The following is a 25,528-nucleotide window of genomic DNA, read 5'->3' on the forward strand; positions in this document are numbered from 1 at the left end:
TCCCAATTTCAAATGTTAACCAAACCTCGCCAAGTTACCCAAAGGAACCAACAAATTGTCCAGCATGTTTCATCATTAATTGTCCATTATTCCAAATATGGACAAACTCCCTTCCTGTGGGTGAGTAAATGCACGCAGGCCCGCATTTGTGCATCCATTTATTCAGTTACTTCTTAGACATCCTCCACCTGGTCCCACAGGGGTTTCAGGTGGCTCCATCTTGAAATAAGATAAGCAATCAGAGGAGAGAATCTCTCTTGAAGTTCTTTTCCTGATTCGCTAGACGGTGACCTGGAACCATTCATGTCTGAGTCACCAGGGTGAAAAACCCATGCCACCCAGGTGCATAGGACCTGCCAGCTTGCTAAGCAGTGTGATTCACCACCACCTTGCAGAGTCTTCCAAGCGGCCCTGTGACGGGGCATAATCCTAACCCTGTGATGGATAAAAAATCAGAAACTTGGACATGCTTCTACACAAAGTAGACTGAAAAACACTCTAGAAAATGGATTTTTAAAATAAAAGTCAAATGGCTAAGATGGAGGGAAGGAAGCATAGCCCATCACCTGGCATCCCAGGGTCCCATCCCAGCTCTAGCCCTATGTACTGGGCGAGCTGACCTCAGTCACATTCCTGCCTGGGTAGCACCCTGCATCACCTTTTCTACAAACTGAAGTGCAGGGGGAGGGGATGGACTGTATCACGATTCTCAAGCTGCCCTTCAGCTTCTGAGAAGCCCCTTTTTGGGTGGGGTTGGGGTGGGCTCTACTTTTAGGTGTATGCACAGGGCTCCACACACTGATCTTATAAGACAGATTCCACAGCTAAGAAAGCACATGTGAACTAGGTCAGATTTCTCCTGAGTATCCTTTCCAGCTCCATCATTCCTGGGAGCAGATCAGCCACAGGGGCCACGTGCTCCGGTGTGTCAAGAGCCACTGGGGAAGAGTCCACTTCATCAATTTAAAGGCAGGCTCTGAAGGACCCACATGGTGGGCATGAGACAACTTTGTACCTCAGTACCTGGTGCCTCTGCATCTGACCAATCGGCCAGTTCCATGATGCCACTCTGCATCTCACACGTCCAGCCACCCTGCAGGACGCCACATGCAAAGGGCTGGTCCCTGGGGGATGTGGAGCTGGTGGATTCTGGGCTCCAGGCAAGCTATTCCTGCCTCTGACTCTCTGGGTGACCATAAGTCAGTCCCTTTATCTCTCTGGATCTCAAATTTTTCATTTGTACACCTGGGGTCAAAATTTCCCTTGTTCTGGCCTGGCACAGTGGCTCACGCCTATAGTCCTAACCCTTTGGGAGACCGAGGCAGGTGGATCACCTGAGGTCAGCAGTTCGAGACCAGCCTGACCAACAAGGTGAAACTCTGTCTCAACTAAAAATACAAAAATTAGCTGGGCATGGTGGCAGGTGCCTCTAGTCCCAGTTACTCGGGAGGCTGAGACAGGAGAATTGTTTGAACCCTGAAGGCAGAGGTTACAGTAAGATGAGATCACGCCAATGCACTTCAGCCTGGGCGACGGAGTGAGACTCCATCTCAAAAAAAAAAAAAAAAAATTTTTTTTTTCTTGTTCTGCCAAGATCCCAACACCAAATAAAAGGGAGAGCCATTCAAGTGGTATACAATTAACACAGCACACGGTGGTGGCGGTGAGGGGTGTGTGGTTTCTTTGAGCACTGCAGAGCCTGAGAGAAGGAGAAATAATCTGCGAGAAACTCTGAAATGCCTCTCAAGTCCATTTAAGGCTGGATCCAACAGGCCTATCATTTGTACCAATGGACAAATCATGACTGATCCAGAAAAGCTTCCTTATCAACCATAAAGCCCAGGGACCCACCCACTAGGTTGGAGGCGCCAATCTCATCCTTGCCAACCAATCCTGTGATGTCATCTGTGTGCCTCTTGGCAGTGCTGCCACCAGCCATTGTGGGGCAGTTTCTGGGTGTCACTTCCTTGATACACCCACCCCCAGCCCCAGCCCAGCCAGGTCCCACAGGACCCCACTTACATCTTTTCCTGGTAACCCTTCCTGACCAGGAAGCCCCATGGCACCAGACTCTCCCTAGGAACAAAAAAGCCTGCTATTAGGGAAGGAGATGCTTCAGCCACTGGCTGTCTCAACCACAGGGGCACCTGAGGAGCTGGGAGAGGTGGAGAGGCCCAGGGGCCCTGTCAACTTCCATACGCAGAGCCCCAGCCCTGAGTTGAGGTCTGTGGCGGCCCTGAGTTGAGGTCTGTGGCGCACCCAAGGCCAGCTGTGAGTGCCTGGAGCCATGCTGTGCCTCTCTGTGCAGCTCAAGCAGGGAAGAACAGCAGCTGAAGGCTCTGGCATCTACTCTTGGAATGCTGCCTCCTTATCTGCTCATCCACTTGACCCTCTCTACACCTGTGCTTGCTCCTTGGTATCTAGATCATGCAAGGGATCTAACCAGCTGACCCATAATGTCACTTCCATTCTGGGCATTCAGAGGAGGCAGAGGAGTTAAAGGATAAGAAAATAGTCTCTGGAGTCTTCCCATCTGGGGTAAAAGTGATGCTTTCCATTTATAAGCTCTAGGACCTTGGGAAATCACCCATGTCCTCTGGGCCTCAGTTTCCTCCTCTGCAAAAAGAACCTAATAGCAACAACCACCTCACAAGGCTCAGGGCTGACATGCGTGACACACCTGAGTCCAGACTTATTTGGCCAAACTGGTTGGCCATGATGTCTGGCCCCCAGAAAAACCACCTGAGGGAATTAGGCCAAGAGGTGAGCATGGTGCTTCAAAGGTGTCCCTGTGCTGGCTTGCTCCATGCTGGTGTGCTCCACGTCCTCTCTCGGGTAAGGCACTGCCATGGCCTGCAGGCTGCAAGTATCTTCTGTCTGGGAAGTGTAAGCTCTGCCCACCTGGGGGGACCTCCAAAGTGAGGCGCCCACTTACCCGGGGACCGGGTGCACCAGAATCGCCTGTGTGTCCCTTGAAGCCCTAGAAGGAAGAGAATGGAGTTATTCCATGATAGAGCAGGCTCTTGGGGCAGAAGTGGGCAGGCATACCTCCCTGCCGGCTTTGACCCACGTTGCCCCCGCTCATTCTTTACCATTTGCAGGATACTGAGCCCTACTTGGTGCCATGCTCGGTGCCAGAGGTTTGACAACTGGATACCAAGAGCCCTTCTTCCCAGCCCCCTCTATGCTGTGGGAAGGGCTGCCAGGGCTCATCCCACAAATGCCTCAGAGTGTTGGGGCATTGCCCTACTGGTTCAGGTGTCTCCTGCTCTCCTTGTTCCTCCTGATTGTTCCAGGCTTACAGCATATAGCTTGGCCCGCCCCTCTCTGCACGGCTCCTGAGTCAGGTGATTCCCTTGTAGGGAACATCACCTTCACCCAGAGTTAGGTCCTGTGGCCCCTTCCTTGTTCCTGTGGCCATTGCTGGTCCTACCAACACCCCTGAGTAGGTTCAGCTCTGGGAGCTACATCCCGGGCCATAGTGCTGGGGTCTCCTTGTCCAGAGTTGCAACTTGGAGGCATATTACCTGAAGCACCACTACAGAGTTTCAGGCCCTGTGAGTGAAGATTAAACCATTAGCAGAGCTGAGGCCATCATTTCTAACCTCCAGGCCAATCTGTGTGAAAATCTGCACTTAGTGGATGTAAAGCTAAAGCTCAAGGATAACAAAAATGCCCGCCTGGCATAGCTTTGCAGTATTAATCTGTGGAAAGGATTGCCATATGCTCTTAAGTTTCATGCAACTGGGCTGACTGTGAGTTAGGTCTGAGATGGGACCATGGCTCCCATTTTGCAGCTGTGGGATCTTGGAAGCTCTACTTCTCTTCTCTGGAACTCAGTTTCCACATCTGTAAAATTAGGCTAGAACCTACTTCTGCAGAGTTGCTGTCAGGACTGAATAAGACTGAATAAGGACTGCACAGTGCTCTCCAGTTATTCAAAACAGTCCAGCTACATTTCCCTGGAAAGGGCTAGGGATTTCTTGGGGCTTGGCATCTTCCTCAAGGACCCCAGAATTCCAAATTCAGCCAGCCCAGAGGAAGAGACTCTGGTGTGCTCTCCTCCCATCTAATCATGACAAAAGCACCAACTGAGAGAGTGCCTGTCAGGCACTCTGCTGGGAACGTTACATGTCCTACCTTCTCCTTTAGTACTTACGACCACTCTGCAAGAATGGGAGCTATTATGACTGCCATTTCATAGAAGAAGAAACAGGGGTTCAGAAAGGTCCTCGTTGCAATCAAGGTCACAAAGTCAATAAATGACAAAGTAAAGGCTGAATCCAGGTCTTTCTATCTGAAAACCCACTCCATTCTACAAAGCTTTGTCCTGACTTATTCTATGTCAGCCAGAGGAGCTTGGTCTTCTTTTCCCTGCCTGGCTTTCTAACCTCAGCTCTTTCATTACAACTCCCAGTTGACAGATGGGTCTTGCCCCCAATACAGGTTCCATGGGTTTCCTGGCTGAAATGTAGCCCCTGTCACTCCAATAAGCCAAGAACCACCTTTAATAAATTGATCACTAGCTCAGTGTTGCAATCCCCATAAGAGGTCGTATTCCTCATTCTTGGGTGTTTTCTGGTGCAATCATGTGAAAAACAAGGGGATTTAAGAGAACAGAAAATTTATTTTTGTATTTTATTTCCTTCTTATTGAATACGAGCCAGGAGGTTGATTTTTTAAAAGAAAAACATTAAGAAAATAGAGCTAGGATTTTGATTTGCTAGATAAAATCCAGATAATTTTAGGATAATCATTTAAAATCATATTTTTTTCTAAAAGCAATTTAAGAAATTGTGAAAACAATTTTGAAATTATGAAGAGGTGAAACATTTAGCATAAAACCCAATAACCCTAAAATACATAGAGTTCATTTTTGTAGGTAAACAATATCTGTGTCTGTTTATATGTATAATAGCTAGACATAGATGTACATATATAGATGCTAGAATTCATATATAGAAAAAAGGACTAGAAAAAATACACTGAATATTAAAAACTTTACTTCTTTGTTATAGAATTAGAAGTAAATTAATTTTCTTCTCAATACCATTTTTTGTATTCTTTTTCTTATTATTACCATCATCATTATTATTAATACCATTAGGCTATGAGAATGGGTTACTTTTATAGTTGGGAAAAAAAACCTTAGCTATGGAAAGTGTTCAAAACTAAAATTAAGATTCATTTTTACGTTCTATTATCCAGAGAAAACCCATTGAAATTATAATGAATCAGATGAGAACATAGAAAACTTTGAGCAACAACAAGGTCATGGCTGCAATTGTGAAAATGAATTTCGCAGCTATGTAGTGTGGCAAAGCTGAATTGACCGCACAGAAGCACAGCCGTCTGGAGGAGAAGGACTTCTAGGACCCCACGGTTGGGCAGTCTGGGCTAGCCCTGCTCACAGTGGTGAGAGCCATGTAGCTGATGGGCTTGGTTCTACCGTTCCCCACACACACTACACACTTACAGGTGGGCCTCGGGCACCCTCTGGTCCTGGTAGACCTGGCTCTCCTGCTTTGCCCTGAGAGTAAGGAAGAAAAGAAGAGTTTGAGGACAACATTGTAAGAATCTTCCTATTCCTGGCTCTCTGTGTTTCCTACCAATCTATTCCCACAAGCCAGTTTCTATCCACCCTGTCAGCCCTTTCCCCTGGTGTCTTGGTCCTTCTTAATCTACACAAATCTCCACCATGTATTCAGGCCTATTATATTCCTGGGTTTCCTGGGATGGTGCTGGTTACACAGGTTGCATCTCCAAATTAATTATGCTTAGTACCCCCCTTTCACTATCAGAAGCATCTTGGTGTGGATGAGAAATTATATGGCCATCTTAGTTACAGACGACTTTATGCCCACTTGCAAAAACCATGTCAAGGCCGCTATTAACACTTGCACTTTACCGATGGCAACACTGAGGCTCAAAGTTATATTTTTATGAAGGTATTAAATAGCAAAGCCAGGCTGAATTCCAGCTGAGCGCCACACCTAAGCGGATGCTCTTTCCAGGTCAGCTGCAGTACCTACTGGCAGGGCGACCTGTGACGTACACAGCCTTTTCCTCACCCCATCATCTTAAAAGAGCTTGTCAGGACACTCTTGCTATTTAAAATTCTTTACTGCCCACAGCTTGGCATTGCCCTGCACAGAACCAAACCAGGAACAGAAGACAATAAGAGGCTTGCCAACTCAGGTTCATATAAATTGAAGATGGGGTCAGTGGAAGAATGAGGGGAGGCCGGGCAGAGGAAAGTTGATGAAAGGCTAAGTTTGATGGGTGGGCAGAAGGGGCAGCAAGCTGGGCCTGGAAGACATGCCTGTTCCCAAACCTTCTGTCCACCTCATGTTTACAAGTTTTAAACCTTGGAAATCATATGCAGCCCATTATTGGGGAGTGGGGAGAGAAAGGAACATCCTTGGATTTAGAAAAAAAAAAAAAACTATAGAAAGAAGGGTGGGGCCTAAAGCCCTGACTTCCAGGTTTGTCTGTTTCTTAGTTTAGCTGTGTGATCTTAAAGTGCCATTTCCTTTCTCCGGATCTCTGGATCTGTAAATTTGGGACAGTCCTCCCTTGTAGGTCTTTGTGATAGAGGGTGTACATAGCCTGGCTCCTGCCTCAGAGTCAACTGTGATGGCCATCACTGGCCCAAGGCACCAGTAGAAAAATGGAACAACCAGCAGCTACTGAAGGTTTTCACTATGATGTCACTGACGCCTGACTCTTGTTAACCCTCAGGCAAAACACTGAGGCACATAGAGGTTCAGTCATCTGCTCAAGGTCACACAGCTGGGGTTCTAATCCAGGCATTTTGGTTCCAGAGTCTGCACTTCATCCTACAGTATAATTAATGCTCAAATATCTCTTAATAAAAATTAAGCAACAGGCAACTCAAAAGGCTGTCTATATATCCATCTGTGTATCCATCTATCCATCCATCCATCCATTCAACCAACCAAGCATCCATCCATCCATCCATCCATCCATCCATCCATCCATCCATCCATCCATCCACCCATCCATCCATCCATCCATCCATCCTATGTTCTATTTATCTGGCTGGTCTGTCTATCCATTTGTGCCCCTCCCATATACAAACTTTGAATGAGCAACTCAACTTGAAGAGGGGCCACCTAGTACCTGTAGCAGATGCTGCCATTTTCCAACCACATCCCCTGGGGCCCACCCAGGGAGGTGTCTGCCTCCTTGTGGAGCAGTTCCTGCATAGGTTGAAGGGTGGACATAGAATGAAGATGTTCCCTGACCGTAATGGGTACTTGACTTTGAGGTGTGGAAGGCCCAAGTGCAGGGAAGTCAATGCCTCCAGAAGCAGTCAGAGGATCGCCAGTGAGGCTGGGCCCCAGCCTGGAGTTACCAGTTGCCAGCCTGCAGTTACCAGTTGCCAGCCTGCCTTTCCTTCTTTCTCTGTTCCATTCTCTTCCTCCCTCCCTCACTGATTCAGGGGATCACCTCCTAAATACTCTACCTGCATCAAAATAGGCATTGAGTAAACAGACTGAATGAAGACCAGTGTCCTCAGTTATTCTGAACTGTAAACAACAGCCTCTCAGCATAATACACGTTCTGCAGAAAGGTCAATGCACTGCTCTGCAGCAGTGAACTCCGGGGTCAGCCTGCAGGAGTGTGAGTCCTAGATGCTTCATTTACCAGCTTTATGCCCTTGATCAAGCTATTATCCTCTTTGTGCCTTAGTTTCCTCATCTGGGAGAAATAATGGTACCCACAGCCCATAAGGTTCTTCTGGGGACTACAGTGGAAAAATGTAATGAAGTGCTCAGTGCCCCACCCTAGGCACACACGCAGTTGCTGTCAGCCACAGTGTGATATGTGTGCTTCTCTCTACCCTTGCCACATTTTTGCCCAGGCTGAATGTCATTTGCCCATCATGGGCAGCTCTGCTGGGTGTCAGTCCACAGTAGCTCGTTGAGACTTTTCAATTTGCTCAGTTGCTACAAGCTCTTTCTTTTGCTCTCAGCAATGAATTTTGGTTTCAGCATCTGGCAAACAGTGTAAAATGATAAAGAAGGTGCTTCCAGCAAGTTGTGTAAGATTCAGAATGAGTCATAATAGTTTATGACCAAACAAATTAAATGGAACATAAACCTCACTGTAGAAACTTTTATGGAACTCCCCTTAGTGGTTCTAAAGGCTCTGCAGTTCTAGCCTCACCAGGAGCTACAACTAGGGCAGCTGGGAAAAGTAGCTTACTAAAATCATTGACAGTTAGATAAGCCTGATGCATCTGACACATTTTCTACATTATATGATTACCCAGCAACTCTGGCAAGTTGGTATATTATTCTCATTCTATTTCAAAAGAAACTGAAGCTCATAGATGCTTTCTGAGTCACCCAGATCACAAAACCTGGGAAGGAGTGGGGCCAGAATCCGAAGCAAGCTTTTATTGCTATTGTTATTATTGTTGTTGTTGTAATTTTGGCATAAAATATTTTTATTTAATCACTATATTTTAAATTTAATTTTATCAGTAAGTAATGCATACTCATGGCTCCAAAAATTAAGATGATAACAGTAAAATAAAATACCATGGAAAAGAAAGTTGTCTTCCTACTGCTATGTCCCCTTGTCTGACAATCATCCTCCCATGGACAGGAACTACTTTTATGCGGGTTTTATGGAGTCTTCCAGAGTTCCTTTAGATAAACACTAGAAAAAGATAGGCCCACAACTATTTTTACACAAAATAGGACAGACTATACACATTGTTTTACTCTTTGCTTTTCTACTTCACAATCTATCTAGGAGCAGTCCTGCATCAGTATCTAGAGAACATCCTCATTCGTTCTGACAGCCCTTGGTATTCTATGGGGTGGACAGCTCATCATTTAACTAGTCTCATACTGGTGGGCATTTGGAGAACCCAGGTCTCTAAACCACTGATGCCGTCCTCCATCTTGCCCTTGGTGTAGTGTCTGTGAAAGGGCTTTGGGAAGACCTAAGAGGTGCTAGGAACCGATGAATCATCATGATGAATCTCTGATCCGTAGGCAAGAAGGACTGACCAAACTCAGTGAGCACAGCTTTGAAGTCACAGATACGGGTCTCTGTAAATCCCTGCACATTCCCAACTAACAGCTACTGGGACCACCAAGACATTCTCACTAGCACTTGATCCATCTCATTGTGTGCCCCTGGACAGCTGACATTAAACAAAACCAAAACCAAAACCAAAATGAGAAAACCCTATCCCAGAGTTACAAGTATGTGTGTGTACATATATATATATATATATATATTTATGTGTGTGTGTGTGTGTGTGTGTGTGTGTGTGTGTAATCCCACAATGTCTGGAGCTAGCAGGTGCCACTCAGATTTTACTAGGTATCCTGATCTCTCCAGATATCAGATTTCTCCTCCAGGCGATGCTCATCTACTTCAGCTTCCTCTATCACATCAATAGGATTGAGGCTACAGGGGGCAGTAAACCAAAATGTGGAGCAGGGACAGGAGCCCTGGGCTCAGGTTCAGATTCTGTCACCAGCCCATCATGTGACTTTGGGGCCATGATTTCACCTCCCCGAGGCCCAGGTTTCTTCTGCTTTAAAATGGGGACAGCAGTGTTTACTGTGCAGGAGTATGTAAATGAAATAATGCATAGAAAATGCCTATCTTCGAGACTGGTTCAAAATAGCTCCTCACACAAAGTAGTTGTTTTTGACATGTAATAGATTTGGCATGTGATATAATAGGAAGTTTAGAGTCCTTTACCGGCTCTCCAGGGGGACCCGGCTTTCCATCTCTGCCCTCTTTGCCTTCTTCTCCCTGCAAGAGAAACTCAAATTGGTTATCAGGTCAAAGAAGATTCGAGGGGATGGAAAGACGAAGGCAGTTTCAGCATGTCTTCCTGCCCAGCTTCCAGCAGTTGCCTTCACAGTTGGCAGCTAAGGCAGTGTCTCAACGGACAGAATTGTTCTGATTTCCTGGTTTTTTTCTCAACACCAAGATTCCAGCTGTGGATCTCTGACTTGCAGTATCTGGCATATAGTGGGAAAGCAATACATTTTGTAATAGCATTATTATTATTATTGCTATTGACCTAAAGAAGCCTCTCCTGGGCATTTTCGTGAAGTCAAGTTTAGAACATGAGAGCCTGGTGTCTGGGCCTCTTGGGTGAGCACAGTGATGGGTGAGGGGGGAATGTGGATGCTGACGATGATAATGAGGACATTTGATAACACGCAGGAAGGTACTCAGCATGGTTCACTACTGTGGGCACAGGAGGGGCTCAGTGAATGACAGCAAGGAGCACGTTTGGGTCACAGAAAGGCTATAAGCATTGTTCATTTCTGTCCTTGAAGTGGAAACAGAGTGATAAAGAAACAGAGAACAAAGCTGGGGTCGTTCACAAGGTGCCAGGGAAGTAACAGGGCCCAGTCTTTGGCTTAAGCCTAAGGACAACAGTGAGCAGAGGGAAGTAACATGATCAGATTTCCATTGGAAGGAAAGAAAGGAGGAGGGAGGAAGGAGGGAGGGATGGAGAAATGGATATTATTAAGAAAATAGCATAATCATATGTAAGGTTGTATCTCTCTTCTCCAGTACTCTAGAACTTTGATAACGGGTTAACACAAAATCCAAATTGAAATTTCTTCTCCTTAGCTTTACCATTGCTAAAATTAAATCAGTACGTATTTCCTAACTGCTATGATATCCTAGTCTCCAGAGTTGTAGTTCATACCAACATCCCAGCATGTCACTTCAGATCTGTGTGTCCTGGACAGCTTACTTAACCTCCAGGCTGCAGAGTTACAGACAGGACTGTCAGTGATGCCCAGGAAATGCCTTCTTGATCAATGGCAGTACATATCAGATACTGTAGGAGAAAAAGCTCTAAGAAGCAATTCATTCATCCACATGTTTCTTTTGTCAATATTTGCTGTGTGCTCACTATGTGTGGGGACTCAAGGCTAAACAAAAGCAGATGTAGTTCCAGCTCATGCAGAACCTACAGCACAGAATATAACCCCATGATTAATTACCAGGCATGCTTCAATGTTACGTCCTCAGATCTAACAAACAGAGTTGTTTGTTGAATGAGTGATTCAACCAGACCAACGAATAATGGAGAATTAATCAATCCATTACACCAATAGAAATGCGATCACCAGATGAGATAAGCACTCCGAAGAAAAGGAAGATCGAACCTCTCCTAGCCTGGTGGGGAGCAGGGAAGGAAGTGATAGCTGGGATGAGATGGGGGAAGATCGAAGGCATCTACTAACGAAAGAAGGGAAGAGGCATCCTGGTAGCCTGGGAAGGGTTGTAGAGTGTGGCAGGAGAGAATTCAGTGCATTCTGGGAATCAAAAAAAAATCCAGTGTGGCTGGAACAAAAGAAGGCACAGTGGAGGGCAGGGTTGGGGGACTGTAGACAGTAAGTGCTACAGCAGCAAGCAGAGGCCAAAGAGCCACAGAAGAATTCACTCTCAGTGCAGAAGGCAGTGCATGGCCTTTGTGGAGGAATTTATTACAAATGCCTTGAACAGCTCGACTCTAATGAGAAGGATATTAAATGGAAAAGTTCAGGACAACATCTTTGGAAAGCAATTTTGCAGTATGTGTCAAGAACCTTAGATGTTTCTCTACTCTGGCAAGCCAATCACATTTTGGAGGATCATCATAAAGAAATTTTTAAAATGCTATGCATACAAAATTGTCCGTTGTAGTTGCTTTTTAAAATAATTGTAAAGTTTATGAGGCAACTGAGAAATGATAATATGCATTATGGTGCATCCATTGCGTCTATTAAATGTAAAGTTTATGAACATTTAACATTAATATGGGAAATGGAAAATGTTTACATTATCACAAATAGTTAATTAACACAGTTATATATATATGTGTGTGTGTTTTGTTTTAACAATATAAACATATATATACAAGTACACATACATATATATGTAGAGAGAGAAAAATTACTATTTAAACAAATAAGAAACAACCAATATACGCCTAAAAGAAGTACAAGATTAAGACTGATTCTACCCAAATTTTAGTTGGCTTTGACTGATAAACAAGTTAGTGATTATTTTGTTTCTAATTTTCTACAACACTCAAAATTCTAGTGGCCAGGCCTTGTTTTGACAGTGGAATATATTTTTGTTTCTTTGTTTTTATAAAGAGAAACTAGTTTGTTTTTGTTTGTTTGTTTTTATAAAAGCCACTTACTGGGATTCCGGGTAATCCAGATGGGCCTTGGGGGCCAGGAGGGCCTTCTTTCCCCTAAAAGATCCAAGACATAAAAACACCATGAAACCTCTGCTGGCTTTTCTGGAAGTAAATGACTTCACAAGGAACTGCATTCATGGGTTGGGGGAGTGAGTGTTTGGTGAGAAACAAGGAGTGCTTCTGTATCAGCCTCATGGCTTTCTGAGCTGTTTCCCCCAAGGCAGTGAGGTTCCCTGGGGCTGAGCATAGCCACCCCTGTTGGTACACACACTGGAGCTCATTCTGGCCATATTATTAATACAGAGGCTCAGGGAAAACTGAATATTGGAATGCCAGTGGGAAGAAGCTATTCGGGTTTTAGTATCCACAAGACCTGGGTCCAGATCCAACTCTGTATTTGTCCCCAGACTTCCTGAAATTCACATTCTCTACCCATACAGCACATACCTCAGGACCTTGAGGTGTTGTGCATACAGGACTGTACACAAGTGGGGAGCTGACCGGGGTGCATGCATAGAGGATGGTTTATTATTTTCATCATTTTTCCAGAGGCTCCTACATGTTTTACCAATAATTGCTTTACTATCTCTTTCCTTGTATTTGAAAAACTGTTTTACCAAATTTCATTAATTAATATTTTATTTCCCATTTTATTCATCAAAGACTTACATAAGTATCAATTAGGGCTTATAAATCAGCATTATATAATCAGTGCCCTAATTCCTATCATGGTGAGTATTATCATATCACCCTGTGTCTTTACCATGAGTATTTAGAGCTGACAAATTTATAATCTCCTACAAGTGCTTACTGGGAGATAAGACACAGGTGCCAGGTTTTACATTCTAATTCACATGCCACACAAAACGAGGTATTCTTAAGGTTTAGGCAATGCGCAATAATAACCAGGATAAAACAAAATATTCAACCCTCCCCACATCACAACACCTAAAAACACATAAGAAAATTAAGTGGATATTTTTGTTCAACCCAAGACAAAGATGGAGTTATTATTAGAGATTTTTAGTTATTGATAATGGAGCTTCCTGGGTTCCTTCCTGGATGCTTATTTTTCAAATTCCCTAATGTGGAAACACCAGTGATCTAGGACTGGAGTCAGCAAACTTCAGCCCACTGCCAGATTTGTTAAATGAAGTTTTATCAGAACACTGTCACACCCACTGGTTTGCATGTTGTCTATGGCTGATTTTGCATTAAATGTTTGCTAATTGGTTCTTTATGGAAAAAGTTTGCCAAGTACTATATTAGACCATTCTCTTTAAACTCAGGTGAGGAGAGCATGGTCCCATAATAAGAATGTGGCAGATCCAGGAAAGAACTCCACCTCTGACTCGCCGTTCAGTCTTCTTGCCATCACTAGACTTTTATTTATTTAGAAATCAATTCCATTGGCAGAGAGGCTGAAACTTAAAACATGGTAGACCCTTAACTAACCTCCACTTGACCAATCCCCATTATAAACCAGCCTCCCCATCCTCTCCAAAAACCCAGGCCTGGTCACAACACTACAATACACCCTTGCCTGCAGTACACCCTTGCTTTATTGTTCCTACCGGATGAGTTCAAGGCTTGCAAGGAGTCAATGTGCTTGTTCCTAAGCCTGTTTGCATCAGTTATTTGCTATGAAAGTCATACAATTTAATTGTTGATTAAACAATCCAGTAAAATTTAGGTGGAAAAAAATACCCTTTTTATAGAAGTTAAGTCAGAGTTTTGAAGACGCTGACCAAAAGTGAGTCATTCACCACTCACCATCTAAATTGATATAGCTATAAGATAAGATACCTACAAAAGGTTAGGAAAAAAAATCCTAACAATCTAGAACTCTACATTCATATTGTTATACATATGTTGTTATATTTTCCAACCACCTTTCAAAAAAGTAACAAAAACTGATCAGTGGATGTTCTTTTTATGTGACAGATGACAAGGGACTCCATTCATTACCAAAAATCAAAGTAAAGGGCTTTATTTTGTGTCAAAAAGCCTGCCAAACAGTTTGTCTTTTAATTCAAAATACAACAGAACTAAGGTTTGTATGTATCTTTTTATTATAATTTTGCCCCCATTTAACTTTTAAAAATTACTTCTATTGGCTGGGCACCGTGGCTCATGCCTGTAATCCTAGCACTTTGGGAAGCCAAGGCAGGAGGAACACTTGAGGTCAGGAGTTCAAGATCAGCCTGGCCCACATGGTGAAACCCCATCTCTACTAAAAATACAAAAATTAGTCAGAAATCACTTGAACCCAGCAGATGGAGGTTGCAGTGAGCCAAGATCGTGCCACTGCACTCCAGCCTCCGCAACAAGAGTGAAACTGTTTCAGAAGAAAAAGAAAAAAAAATTACTTCTATTTTGTAACTACCAGTGCTCACTGGGCAAACAAAACTTCCAGTATATTCTGGTTTGATGGTTATGGTAAAGTTTCAGCACCACGGACAGCTTCAAGTGCTACCATAGCTTGAGGAGTGGTCCCATGACAGAATCAAAGTCTTATTTAGTACAGTTTAATTCCAAGAATGTGGTAGTTTTATATCCTAGATCCACATCTTTTTTTTTTTTTTTTTTTTTTTGAGACAGAGTCTCACTCTGTTGCCCAGGCTGGAGTGCGGTGGCGCAATCTCGGCTTACTGCAATCTCCACCTCCCTGGTTCAAGTGATTCTCCTGCCTCACTGTCCCGAGTAGCTGGGACTACAGGCACATATCACCACGCCCAGCTAATTTTTTGTATTTTTAGTAGAGACAGCGTTTCACAGCCAGGCTGATCTTGAACTCCTGACCTCAAGTGTTCCTCCTGCCTTGGCTTCCCAGGATGGGTCTCGATCTCCTGACCTGATGATTTGCCCACCTTGGTCTCCCAAAGTGCTGTGATTACAGGTGTGAACCACCGTGCCTGGCCCTGGATCCACATCTTATTCTCTTCAGGCAAACAATCCATTAGTTTTTATTAGGGAAATCATTTGCATATGGAGTCTCACTCTGTCGCCCAGGCTGGAGTGCAGTGGTGCGATCTCAGTTCCCTGCAGTCTCTGCCTCCCAGGTTCAAGCGATTCTCCTGCTTCAGCCTCCCAAGTAGGTGGGATTACAGGCATGTGCCACCGTGCGAGACTAATTTTTGTATTTTTAGTAGAGGGGTTTCATCATGTTGCCTAGGCTGGTCTGAAACTCCTGACCTCAGGTGATCTCCCCACCTTGGCCTCCCAAAGTACTGGGATTACAGGCATGAGCCACTGTGCCCGGCCCAGTATATTTTATATTTTATTCATCCTGGGACTTCTAGATGGGCGGCTTCAAAAGGATTAACCAGATGAGGATCCTAAACCAGATGAGGATCCTAAACAGAACCATGTGGCTGTGATTTTTCAGACTCAACATCCGTCTGGCTGCCTGGACCACCCACATGGTGGGTCAATGTGGAATAGCAGAGGGAGCACTGAACTGAGAAATCTCAAATTGACTTAACTCCCAACTTGGACACTAATTTCCGTATGACTTTGACCAAGTGACATAACCCCATGGGACTCTGACCTCCTCCTTTGACATGGACGAAGTCTTATTAAGTAATAATGCCCTTTGCACAGAACTCCAGAGATACCAGGGTAGGGCTGGCCTGCTTGCTAGCTGGCCTTGGAATATGATGGTGAGATTCCTGTGGCCTAGGGATTGCGCCTGGCTCTGACATTCCCTCACTGTGTGACCCTGAACTGGCCATTTCACTTCTCCAATCCCCACTTTCCTTATTTATAAGATGTGGATAATGATTCATGGCCTTTCTAACTTACAGGTCCAAAGTGGGAGGAGCTGTCAGATGGAGATAAGGAATATTTATGTACCATATATTCATTTACTTGCCATGCATGTATTGGCTACTAACATAATACCTACTAAACTGTGGTTCACCCTTTATGGCATTGAAACCAAGAGTGGTTCTGGCAGCTTCAAGAAATGAAATCTGGATTTTGAGATAAAAGCCTTCGGTTCAAATGCCAACTCCACTGGTTGCGGTTTGGGATCCTGGACTAGTGACTTCTTTTTAATTCCATTCTCCTCTTTTGAACAGTTGGGATAACAATAGCTGCCTCTTGTCTGACATTCCCCTGGTGCACACCATAGTCCTAGGTGAGTTAGCACTGAGCCTTTCCACTTCCCTGCACCTGCTCAATATAGAAACCACACTGACAAGAAATTGAGATATGGGGCCTAAATGTAGGGCTTATTTGCATTGACAGTTGTAAACTGAATTCTGGAATCACAGATCTTCATATCATTCCAACCAAACCTTTACTTTAGCAGCAAAGTAAACAGGGGTCCAACAGAAAGCAAACCCTCCAGCAGTTTCATTGCAAGACTTGTAGTGAACAGAACCTCAAAAATATGTGAGCCACAGGAGGCACACAGGACAAGAGCAGAATTGGCAAACACCTGGGGTTCCAGAAAGGCTAAAGACAGATTAAAAACAGATCCCATTCCTTGAGGAACTTACAGGTGACCCTTGGATTCCTGGTGGTCCAGCAGCTCCTGCAATTCCATCTGCCCCCTAAAAAAGACAAGGCAGAAAGCTAGTTTCTTGTGCATCTAGACAGAGGTCATTAGCACCCTCTGCTTTGAATACAAAGCAATTGATATGGTTGGTTATCTGTCCCCTCCAAATCTCATGTTGAAATGTGATTCCCAATATTGTAGGTGGGCCCTGGTGGGAGGTGACTGAATCATGGAGACAGATCTCTCACGAATGGTTTAGCACAATCCCCTTGGTGATAAGTGAGCCCCCACTCAGTTCATGCAAGATCTGGTTGTTTAGAAGTCTAGGACCTCCCCACCTTTACTCTCTTGCTTCTGCTCTTGCCATGTGACACACCTGGCCTTCCTCTATGATGGGAAGTTCCCTGCGGTCTCATCAGAAGTCAAGAAGATGCTGGTATCATGCTTGTACAGTCTACAGAACTGAGCCAATAAAACCTCTTTTCTTTATAAATTATTCAACCTCAGGTATTTCTTTGTAGCAATGTAAAAACATCCTAATATAGCAACACACAGATCTTACATTCTGTGCCCCTTCCTAGCTTCCTGAACCATAAATATTTCAAATGTGCTTCTGCCTCTTCATCAGGCTGAGCTATTCTCTGGGAATACATGATGTTCAGAGAATAGCATCCACATTTTAGGACGGGCCAATGCATTAGCCAGGCAGTCACCCCTTTGAAAACAGTAAATGAACTCACTTCAGGATGGGCATTTTCAGCTAATATCAGGCAACATTTCAGGACAAAAAGTAATAAATGGACAACTCGATTTATCTTCCAGGAGATTAGGAAGGCAATTGCTGTGTCAACTCAAGGGTGAAGAGATGCACAGATGGATGAATGGAAGAAGACTTCTATGCAGCCGAGCAAGCAGCTCAAAGTGAGCTCCAGGCACACTTTTGCTGGGGACTCTTGCATATGCTGTTTCTTCCCCCTACATTCTAGTCCCTCACATATGCACAGCCTCATACCCTCCCATCCTACAGGTCTTAGCTCAGATATCAGCTTCTCAGTGAAAGGTTTTCTGCCTACCAGACCCAAAACTGAAAGACCTACCCTTCCTCATCCCTGCCCTGGGGAGGTCCCTTTTCTGTCTACCTTCCTCCATAGCACCTGCAAAAATCTGACATGCTAGTGTTTATTGATTTCTCATTTATTTAGTGTTCCTCATTGGAACACTAAATTTAGTTCCTCATTGGAACTAAAACAGTACCTGGGATATAGTAAATAATCAATATTCTTGAATAAATGAATGAATTAGAAGTTGAACTGACTGGGTTATGAAGGCAGCAGTTCTTTAGACAAATTCACACATGTGCCTCTTACTAGCTTTGGTTGAGTCATGTAACATCTCTCAACTTTAGTTTCCTTCACAGTGAAAGGCTGGAAATTGCACATGCCATTAGGAAGGGGAGGAGCAATGCGGCAATGCTTACAAGGTGCTAGGCACAGAAGAGAGGGTATTGGTTAAGAGTGCAGCCTCTTAGAGTTCGAGTTCCTGAGCCCATATCCCATTTCTCCACTCAACAGCTGTATAAGCCTAGGAAACCTACTTGACCCCTCTGTATTTCAGTTCCTTTGTAAAATGAAGGAAAAGAACAGCACCTATTTTACATGGGTTGTTGAGAAAATGGAATTCATGACACATAAGGAGTTAGCACCAGAGAAATGCTAAGGGCTGTCCAATAGGGACCTTCCATGAATATAAGTGTCTATTGTCCACCCACAACAAGGAATCCTGCAGATATTAACTAAATATAAAAGCATAAATAAGCAAGTTCCCGCAGTACTCTATTGATGTCTTTCCAGCAGCCTTTATTTAATTGTTGCATACTTTTATCAAGCGCCTAAACTGTACTAGGTACAAGCCAAATTTTAGAGATGTAAAAATGACTACATCATGGTCTTGGATCTCAAGGAAATTTGATATAACTGTAGAAGACCTGTCTTATTTTCCATGTATGACAAACTCCTGGGGCAGGGTGCAATCAGATTTGTCTCTATCACTTCTACTAGGTAGGGACCCAGTAAATGTTCATGAAATAAAGGGAGAGTGATAATATTTTAACAAGTAACCTAAGGTTCATGCTTTAATTAAATATGTAGTCCAAAGCTAATATAACAAATCTAGATTTTTCCACATAACTTTGATAAAAAGCTTCTGGCATCCTAGAGTCTGGAATCTTGCCAAGTTGAAAAAAAATTCCCTACTGCATATGGGGATGGGGTAAGTGTTTTATCTGGAATAAGGATGCTGACTGAGCACCAGAAAATAAATACTAAAAGAAAGGGCTTTGTCAGCTCGCTACCCATATCCCTGCATATTTCCAACAGGGCCTGACAATTAATAAGCACTTGAAAACAAGCAACAACAAAGAGCAAAACTAAAACAATGCATACATGACCAGAAAGGTTAATTTTCTGCTGTGGAGTTGCTTCTGCATGATTGGCTGCTGAACCTAAACAGGCAGCTGCCTCAGCATCCATTCTCACAGGCTATTAACAGTACAAAGCACGACACAAAATAGAAGCTCAATAAACATCTGCCAAGTGAATTGAAAGCATTAATCAGCTGGAGACAGACAAGCTGGCTTCTGATTATGATTGTTTCTGGGCCTCCAATACATCATCTAGCATGAGAATAATAAGCCAGGAGTCATTTCCTACAGCAGTCATAGAGTTCTAACTTATTGCAGCTTCCAGTGAGAACAGATCAGGATTTTGGTTTCATTGGGAACATGTTATGGGGTTTGGAACTACCAGGGTGGAGTGGAGATGAGGCTGTAATCCATTATTCATTTTCTGAGATCCTCAGCTGTTAAGGAGCACAATGTCATTTAGGAAGCTAATGTCATCATAATATACAATTATTCGTGAATAAACTATTTTTTAAGTAAAATTAGTTACCTCTCAATTGCCCCTCTTTGCTTAACACTAACACCTCTCCCTACTACTGATCGTATCAGCATCATTATCAGTTTCTCTTTTTGCTGATTGTCAGATGCTACAAAATCCAATAATATTCAAATACAGTGCAAAGCAACTACTAAGTGAAATTATAAGCCTTGAAAGAATTGTAGAATTTTGTGAAGTTAAATGACAGCAAACTGATAAATTCCCTACAATATCCTTCACAAATGTGCACATGGCAGAGTTGGGCCAGGTAAGATGTGAGGCTGAGAAATTAAAAATAATATTAACATCAAAGGCGCTTGGGAGGAAAATGTGTTGAATATTAAAGACTTAAAGTAGGCTTTCTGGGAAACTGAATAGTGCTTTTGTAGATAATTTACCTTTTTGTGAGTTTGCTCTAAAAGTCAACATGAAGTGAAAGATGCCATGTCATGCTTTCATCGGATTTTATTGAAAATATACACTTAAAACAACTTAACTTATTCCACTAATTAACACACAGTTAACAACTAGAAGTTGAGTTGTTTAAAAAGATGACAAAGCAAGCTTAATTTCATATATTTTAAATTTATACTCCTAACTGAACTTCTTTTCACTATACTTTCAAACAGGGTATTTCCTATTTGAAGGGGGATCCTTTTCGGTGGTCTTTCAGTCATTCCAGAAATCCTCTCCTTGCAAGGTCTGGGACAAGGGTCTCATGTGGAACCCATGGGAAATCCCAGGGGACTGGTCCTGGGCTTGGCAGGAACACTAATTTCCAGTGCCTGTTGCCATGGCTACCCATGATGGATATGTGGGCTGCAACAGCAGTGGACTCTGATCAGAGGAGGAACATGACTAATCTATGGGCAGCCTACACTGAAGGCAGAGGGAAATGGTGAGAAGGGCACCAGTCAATGTCAAGGCTACAGCTACTGTAAAAGCAGAGAGAACATTTGCTCAGGGGGCCCAGTGGAGATCATTGAGATAATATCAAGACAGGCTCCCCATAACATGGGGAAAGCTGCTTACAATTTCTCATTTTCTACCTTCTTTGCTTGCCATCATAATCTTGAAATACTAGCTTCCTACCCACCAAAGCTCAATTTGAAAAAAGAAGAAGTCTGTCTGTCTTTGCCAATGTCCCCCAGTCCCAACATCACTCTAATTGCATGGTCCATCAAGCCTACTCCAGACCGTCTGCACTTTCCCCCACATGCCTGTGGGACTTGCATTTTTAGGACAACTCTGTCACCTTTTGGGTGTTGGGCCATCCCTTAAAATGAGAGATATGCTCAGTGTCATACCATGCCTGGTGAGTTGAGATGTGCATTCAAATGTCAAGGCCGAAAGAGGAGGGGATTAAAGATGATTACTTACTGGTGGCCCAGGGTTCCCTGGGGGCCCCATGAAACCTGGAACTCCAGGATGACCCTAGGAAAACACAAGATGCAATTCTTTAAAATGACTTGAAAAATACTTTTTACTTTGTGCAAATATCAAATTTCAGAAAACAATACAGAATCCACCTTCCAACCCTACTAACAATTTTGCTTAAAGACACTGACAATAAAAGGGACTTCTTTTTATATATCTCAATAATAACTGACAACATTTATAAAAACAAACATGTCCTGAAAGCGGATTTGCTTCAAAATAATGTGTGGGCAGGGGGTGTGGAGAAATGGTTGAGGACATAAATGAAAACAAGAGGGGCCATAATAATTGAAAGCTGTTGTGGTTAAGTGCAGGGTACATAAATGTTCATTTTATTACAGTCTTTATTCTTTAGATATGCTTGAAGTGTTTCATAATAAAAACATAAAAAACAAATAAATGCACAGAAACACAATGTACACAATGGAAATGGTTAGGTTAACTGAATTACAGCCTCCATATTCTGGCAATATTACAGTTATTTTAAGCAAGAGATTTGTTTCTCCATGTGTAGAGGAGTCTATTGCATATTATAGAATGAGCTGAAAAAGTTATAGAACAAAGCTTGGAATCTAACACTTAGTCTTGTACAACAATGTTATGAAACCAAATAAACCACCAAGAAACAAATGATTTCTCTGCCCTCCACCTCCAAGCCTTACCACTGAAACCACAGGCTACACCATTCAATGTAGAGTACATTGCCTTTGATAAGTCATTCTCATAAGAATAATCCAAACACATTTTGTTTTTCCAAATACAGAAGAGATTTTAGCCAAGGAGCTCATTCAGACTTTGAGCACTGCTCTCATCTCACTGCCTGTGGGTTACTCGTTCATGTCCCTCATGCCCTCACTGAACTGCAAGCCCAGTGAGGTCAGGAGTTTGTCTGCGAGTCATTCCAGATCTCAGAGCCAGGTGCAGTGCCTGGCATGGAATTGGCTGACAATGAGCACTGGCTGTGAGATGCAGAAGAGAGGGAGAAGTAAAGGGGAGGGCAGCTGGGAGAGGAGAGAAAAGAGAACAGGGAAAAGGATGACAGCAGCAAAGCAGAAGGATAACAGTCATTTCCGTTGGCAGGAAGGGTGGTAGAATTGGACTGGGCAGAAATCAGCTGGTTGTGCTGGATAGAGGATGATAGGTAGGCCATGCTCAGATCCACAGAGAGAGCAGTGAGCCCTTATTGGTACCATCCTATAGCACATTAGGAGCAGTGGTCCAGCAGGCCTGGATGGGCACTGATCTGATCAGAGCATGGAGTATCTGTGAAGCATTTCAGCTAGCAGCAAGAGAGCCAGGCAACAGTTAATTGAGATGATGGGAGGGAAGAAGGGGGAATTTTTTAATGAGTGTCCATTTCAGTGAAAAAAAAAGTAAAGGTAAAATAGTACAAAAAGAAAGAAAAGAGAAGGAAGAAAGGAAAGGAAAGGAAAGGAAAGGAAAGGAAAGGAAAGGAAAGGAAAGGAAAGGCAGGGAGGCTTCTCCAATAATTGAGGGAGAGAGGGCACTTAGAGTGAACCAGAGATACCAAGATGAAAACCATAAAAATGAGATTTTAAAAAATCCTGCTACAGGCAAAGAAGAGACAAGGAATGACATTGTACAATGGAAGCCACCTGGGAGAAACAGTGCTCCTTCCTCAGGGTGAATGGTTCCTTATAAAGTAAATTTTTACCTGATCACCTTTCTGCCCAACCTCACCATCTGCACCACGTTCTCCTTGACTTCCCTTGAAAGGAAAAAAAAGAAAAGAAAGATGTCACTGGAAATTTTAATAGGAAAACAAAAATCATTTTCATGCATTCATTCATCCATTCATTAATTCTCCAAAAATCTCTTATCAAGTTCCTGTGGTAGCTCAGGCACGGTGGCAGCAGATAGATAGAAACAGGGCCTGGTTGAGGATGTGTGATAAAATGGCTTAACTGGGATTTGGGGTATGGGGTTGGAGAGCGGGCAGCAGGAAAGGGGCCAGGGAGGCAGGCAGGGCTCATTTCTTTGAGAGCCTTGCATGTCAACATCTGATGTTAGATTTAGTTGTAGGCACTGGAAACCATTAAAAGGATGTGAAATTGTCCTAGGTTCTAGCTGTGGGTATAGTGTGGGATAGGCTAGTGGTCCAGGCTATAGAGAAAAGGGTCAGTTAAAAACAAGTGGTGTTCCAGGAGTGGCAGGAAAAGAGGCAGAATAAACCCAGGGTCTGCAGGCCTTGCAGAACAGGTGTGAGGGTGAGGGAGAAGGAGAAGTTTAGATGGTGGCCAGCAGGAGCAGCAGCACCAAACGGGAAGCTTTGGAAGAATTTATCCATACATAAGTTCCTTGCTCCCTCCCTTACTAGCTGTGAGACTTTGAGGAGCCACTTCACTAAAACTGCTCAAGTTGTTCGTTTGTTTTGTAACCTACAAGAACAAGAAAACAATGATGCCTACCCTGTGAAAATGTTAGAGAATAAAATAACAAATGGGAAACACTTGGCATAGAGCCCAGAACACAGTAAAAGCTCAATAAATCTTAGTCATAATTATTATCTTCTTTATTTTGCCACTTGCTAACTGTGTGTCATTGGACAAGATACTTAAACTCTCTGTCTTCTTACTTCTAAAATGAGAATCATAAAATAGTATCTTTGTCATGGGGTTACTGTGAGAGTTAAATGACCTAAAATATACAAAGTGCTTAGACTTATGACAGGTTGTGTGTTAGCTCTCAAAAAAACATTAGCTATCATCATTCTCATTGTCAGTATCACCATGATGATCATCATGATCATTATCATCACCATCACCATCATTATTATTCCATAACCATCATCACCATAATCACTATCATAATCATGATCACCATCAACATCAGCACCACCAGAGCTATTATCATCACTGTTTCCATCACCGTCATCATCCTCATCTTCACCATCATCATCGTCTACATCATAATGATCAACAACACCATGACTATTGTCATCACCATCATCCTCATCATCATCATTGTCATCATTATTGCCATTGTCATCATCATCATGGTCATCAAGATGCTCAAAATATACAACCTACCAAAAATACTTTTCACAGACCACCCAAGAAAGTAACATCCAAAGGTTCAAATTCTTTAACTATTATCTACCTTAGCTCTGCCTTTATTGTGTTAATAAGTGTGTTTCAGCAAAATGTTTTTAAAACAAAAACATTTCAATTCCTTTAAAAGAATGCATTATGCACTAAATAGGTTTGTGACTGTAGGTCAATCTTTGTTGTGGTTCTATGCCTGTCATCCCTTAACTTTGCATTCTTAAGCATATCATGTCCACTCTCTGGTCTCAGTTTGTTCATCTAGTAAATAAAGGATGAGGGGCAGGTCCATCTAGGAGGGTCCTTCAGGGGGTCCAGTGCCCCACAGTTCTCTCATGGAAACATCAAGTCCAGCCCTCTTTCAATCCAGACTGTTCTACCACCTCAGCAGACCACTGATGACAGTGACTATCTAATAATCCCCCCTCTCTCTCTGTGATATATTGGGAGGGTTAGGTGAGCTCATATCTGTGAAGTGCTAAATATCATTGTTTAGAAGAGAAAAAAAATGGAGTCAGAGAGAAAGAGCATTTCTTCTGACATTTTTCCACGTAATTATTTTTACTGTTTCTAAATCTAAATAAAGGCATCACACCCTCTGCAGATCATGTTGTAATCAATGAAAAGAAGTGACACAGATTAGCCCACTGCTTCCTTAACATTTAGGACAATTGCCTTAAAAGTAAATGGCTTCCTTTCAAATTCCAGTCCTCAGTCTGGGTTTAGACTAGTTTCAACACTCATGTTGCAACAATGAAAATGTCAGCAGCTCAAGGATCTCCACAGTTGTCCCTGTCTCCTACTCCAACGTAGGTCAGGGATCAAAGCAAACACACCCACCCCCAAGCCTGATTCACTTCCTTCCAGAGAAGGGCGCTGACATTTACAGAGCCCCGACTCTTCCAGGAACTCTGCCAAGGCTTCCCACATGATATCCCATTACATATATTTCCTTGTTTATATCTTGAACTGATGCAAAAATATTTAATATGTCTTTATTCTCTTATTGAGCCAGTAAGTCTACTCTCTGAGGTAGGGCTTATTATCAGAGTGTTAGATAATAAATCTGAAGACCAGACAGGTTCAGTCATTCACCTGAGCTCACACAGCTTATAGAAAGCAAGGTCTGGAATCTAATCCAGATCCATTTGTCTGATGATCAAATATCCAAGCTGGCTTTCTCTGCCCAAATTACTTTTCCGGCTATTTTCCTAGAACATGATGCCTTATCCAACAGGTTTCAAGATGTCAAGTGCACTGGATTTATAGTCAGAAAGACTGACTGACCATGCTGAGCATAGGCCAGACAGCTTTCTATACACTGGATATATAACAATCAATGAAACAGATAAAAACCATGTGCACTGGGCATTCA

General features: G+C 43.1%; 1 protein-coding gene across 12 annotated transcripts in view; it reads right to left on the bottom strand.

Annotated features, from left to right (window-relative positions):
* Positions 1–25,528, bottom strand: part of COL22A1 (collagen type XXII alpha 1 chain) — a 325,807-nt gene that overhangs the window by 25,744 nt on the left and 274,535 nt on the right. For 10 of the 12 annotated variants that reach the window (XM_017013150.3, XM_011516886.4, XM_011516884.3 and 7 more), the window contains 8 exons: positions 22,764–22,817; positions 21,032–21,085; positions 16,717–16,770; positions 12,212–12,265; positions 9,754–9,807; positions 5,477–5,530; positions 2,936–2,980; positions 2,023–2,076 (listed from right to left, as the gene is read on the bottom strand). In XM_017013150.3, the coding sequence (XP_016868639.1) occupies positions 2,023–2,076; positions 2,936–2,980; positions 5,477–5,530; positions 9,754–9,807; positions 12,212–12,265; positions 16,717–16,770; positions 21,032–21,085; positions 22,764–22,817 (423 nt within the window). Of the gene's footprint in view, positions 1–2,022; positions 2,077–2,935; positions 2,981–5,476; positions 5,531–9,753; positions 9,808–12,211; positions 12,266–16,716; positions 16,771–20,098; positions 20,928–21,031; positions 21,086–22,763; positions 22,818–25,528 lie in introns of those variants that run through there. The other 2 variants (XM_047421412.1, XM_011516888.3) reach the window with 1 other exon arrangement.

The sequence above is a fragment of the Homo sapiens genome, chromosome 8, assembly GCF_000001405.40.
Source record: "Homo sapiens chromosome 8, GRCh38.p14 Primary Assembly".
Lineage (NCBI taxonomy): Eukaryota > Metazoa > Chordata > Mammalia > Primates > Hominidae > Homo > Homo sapiens.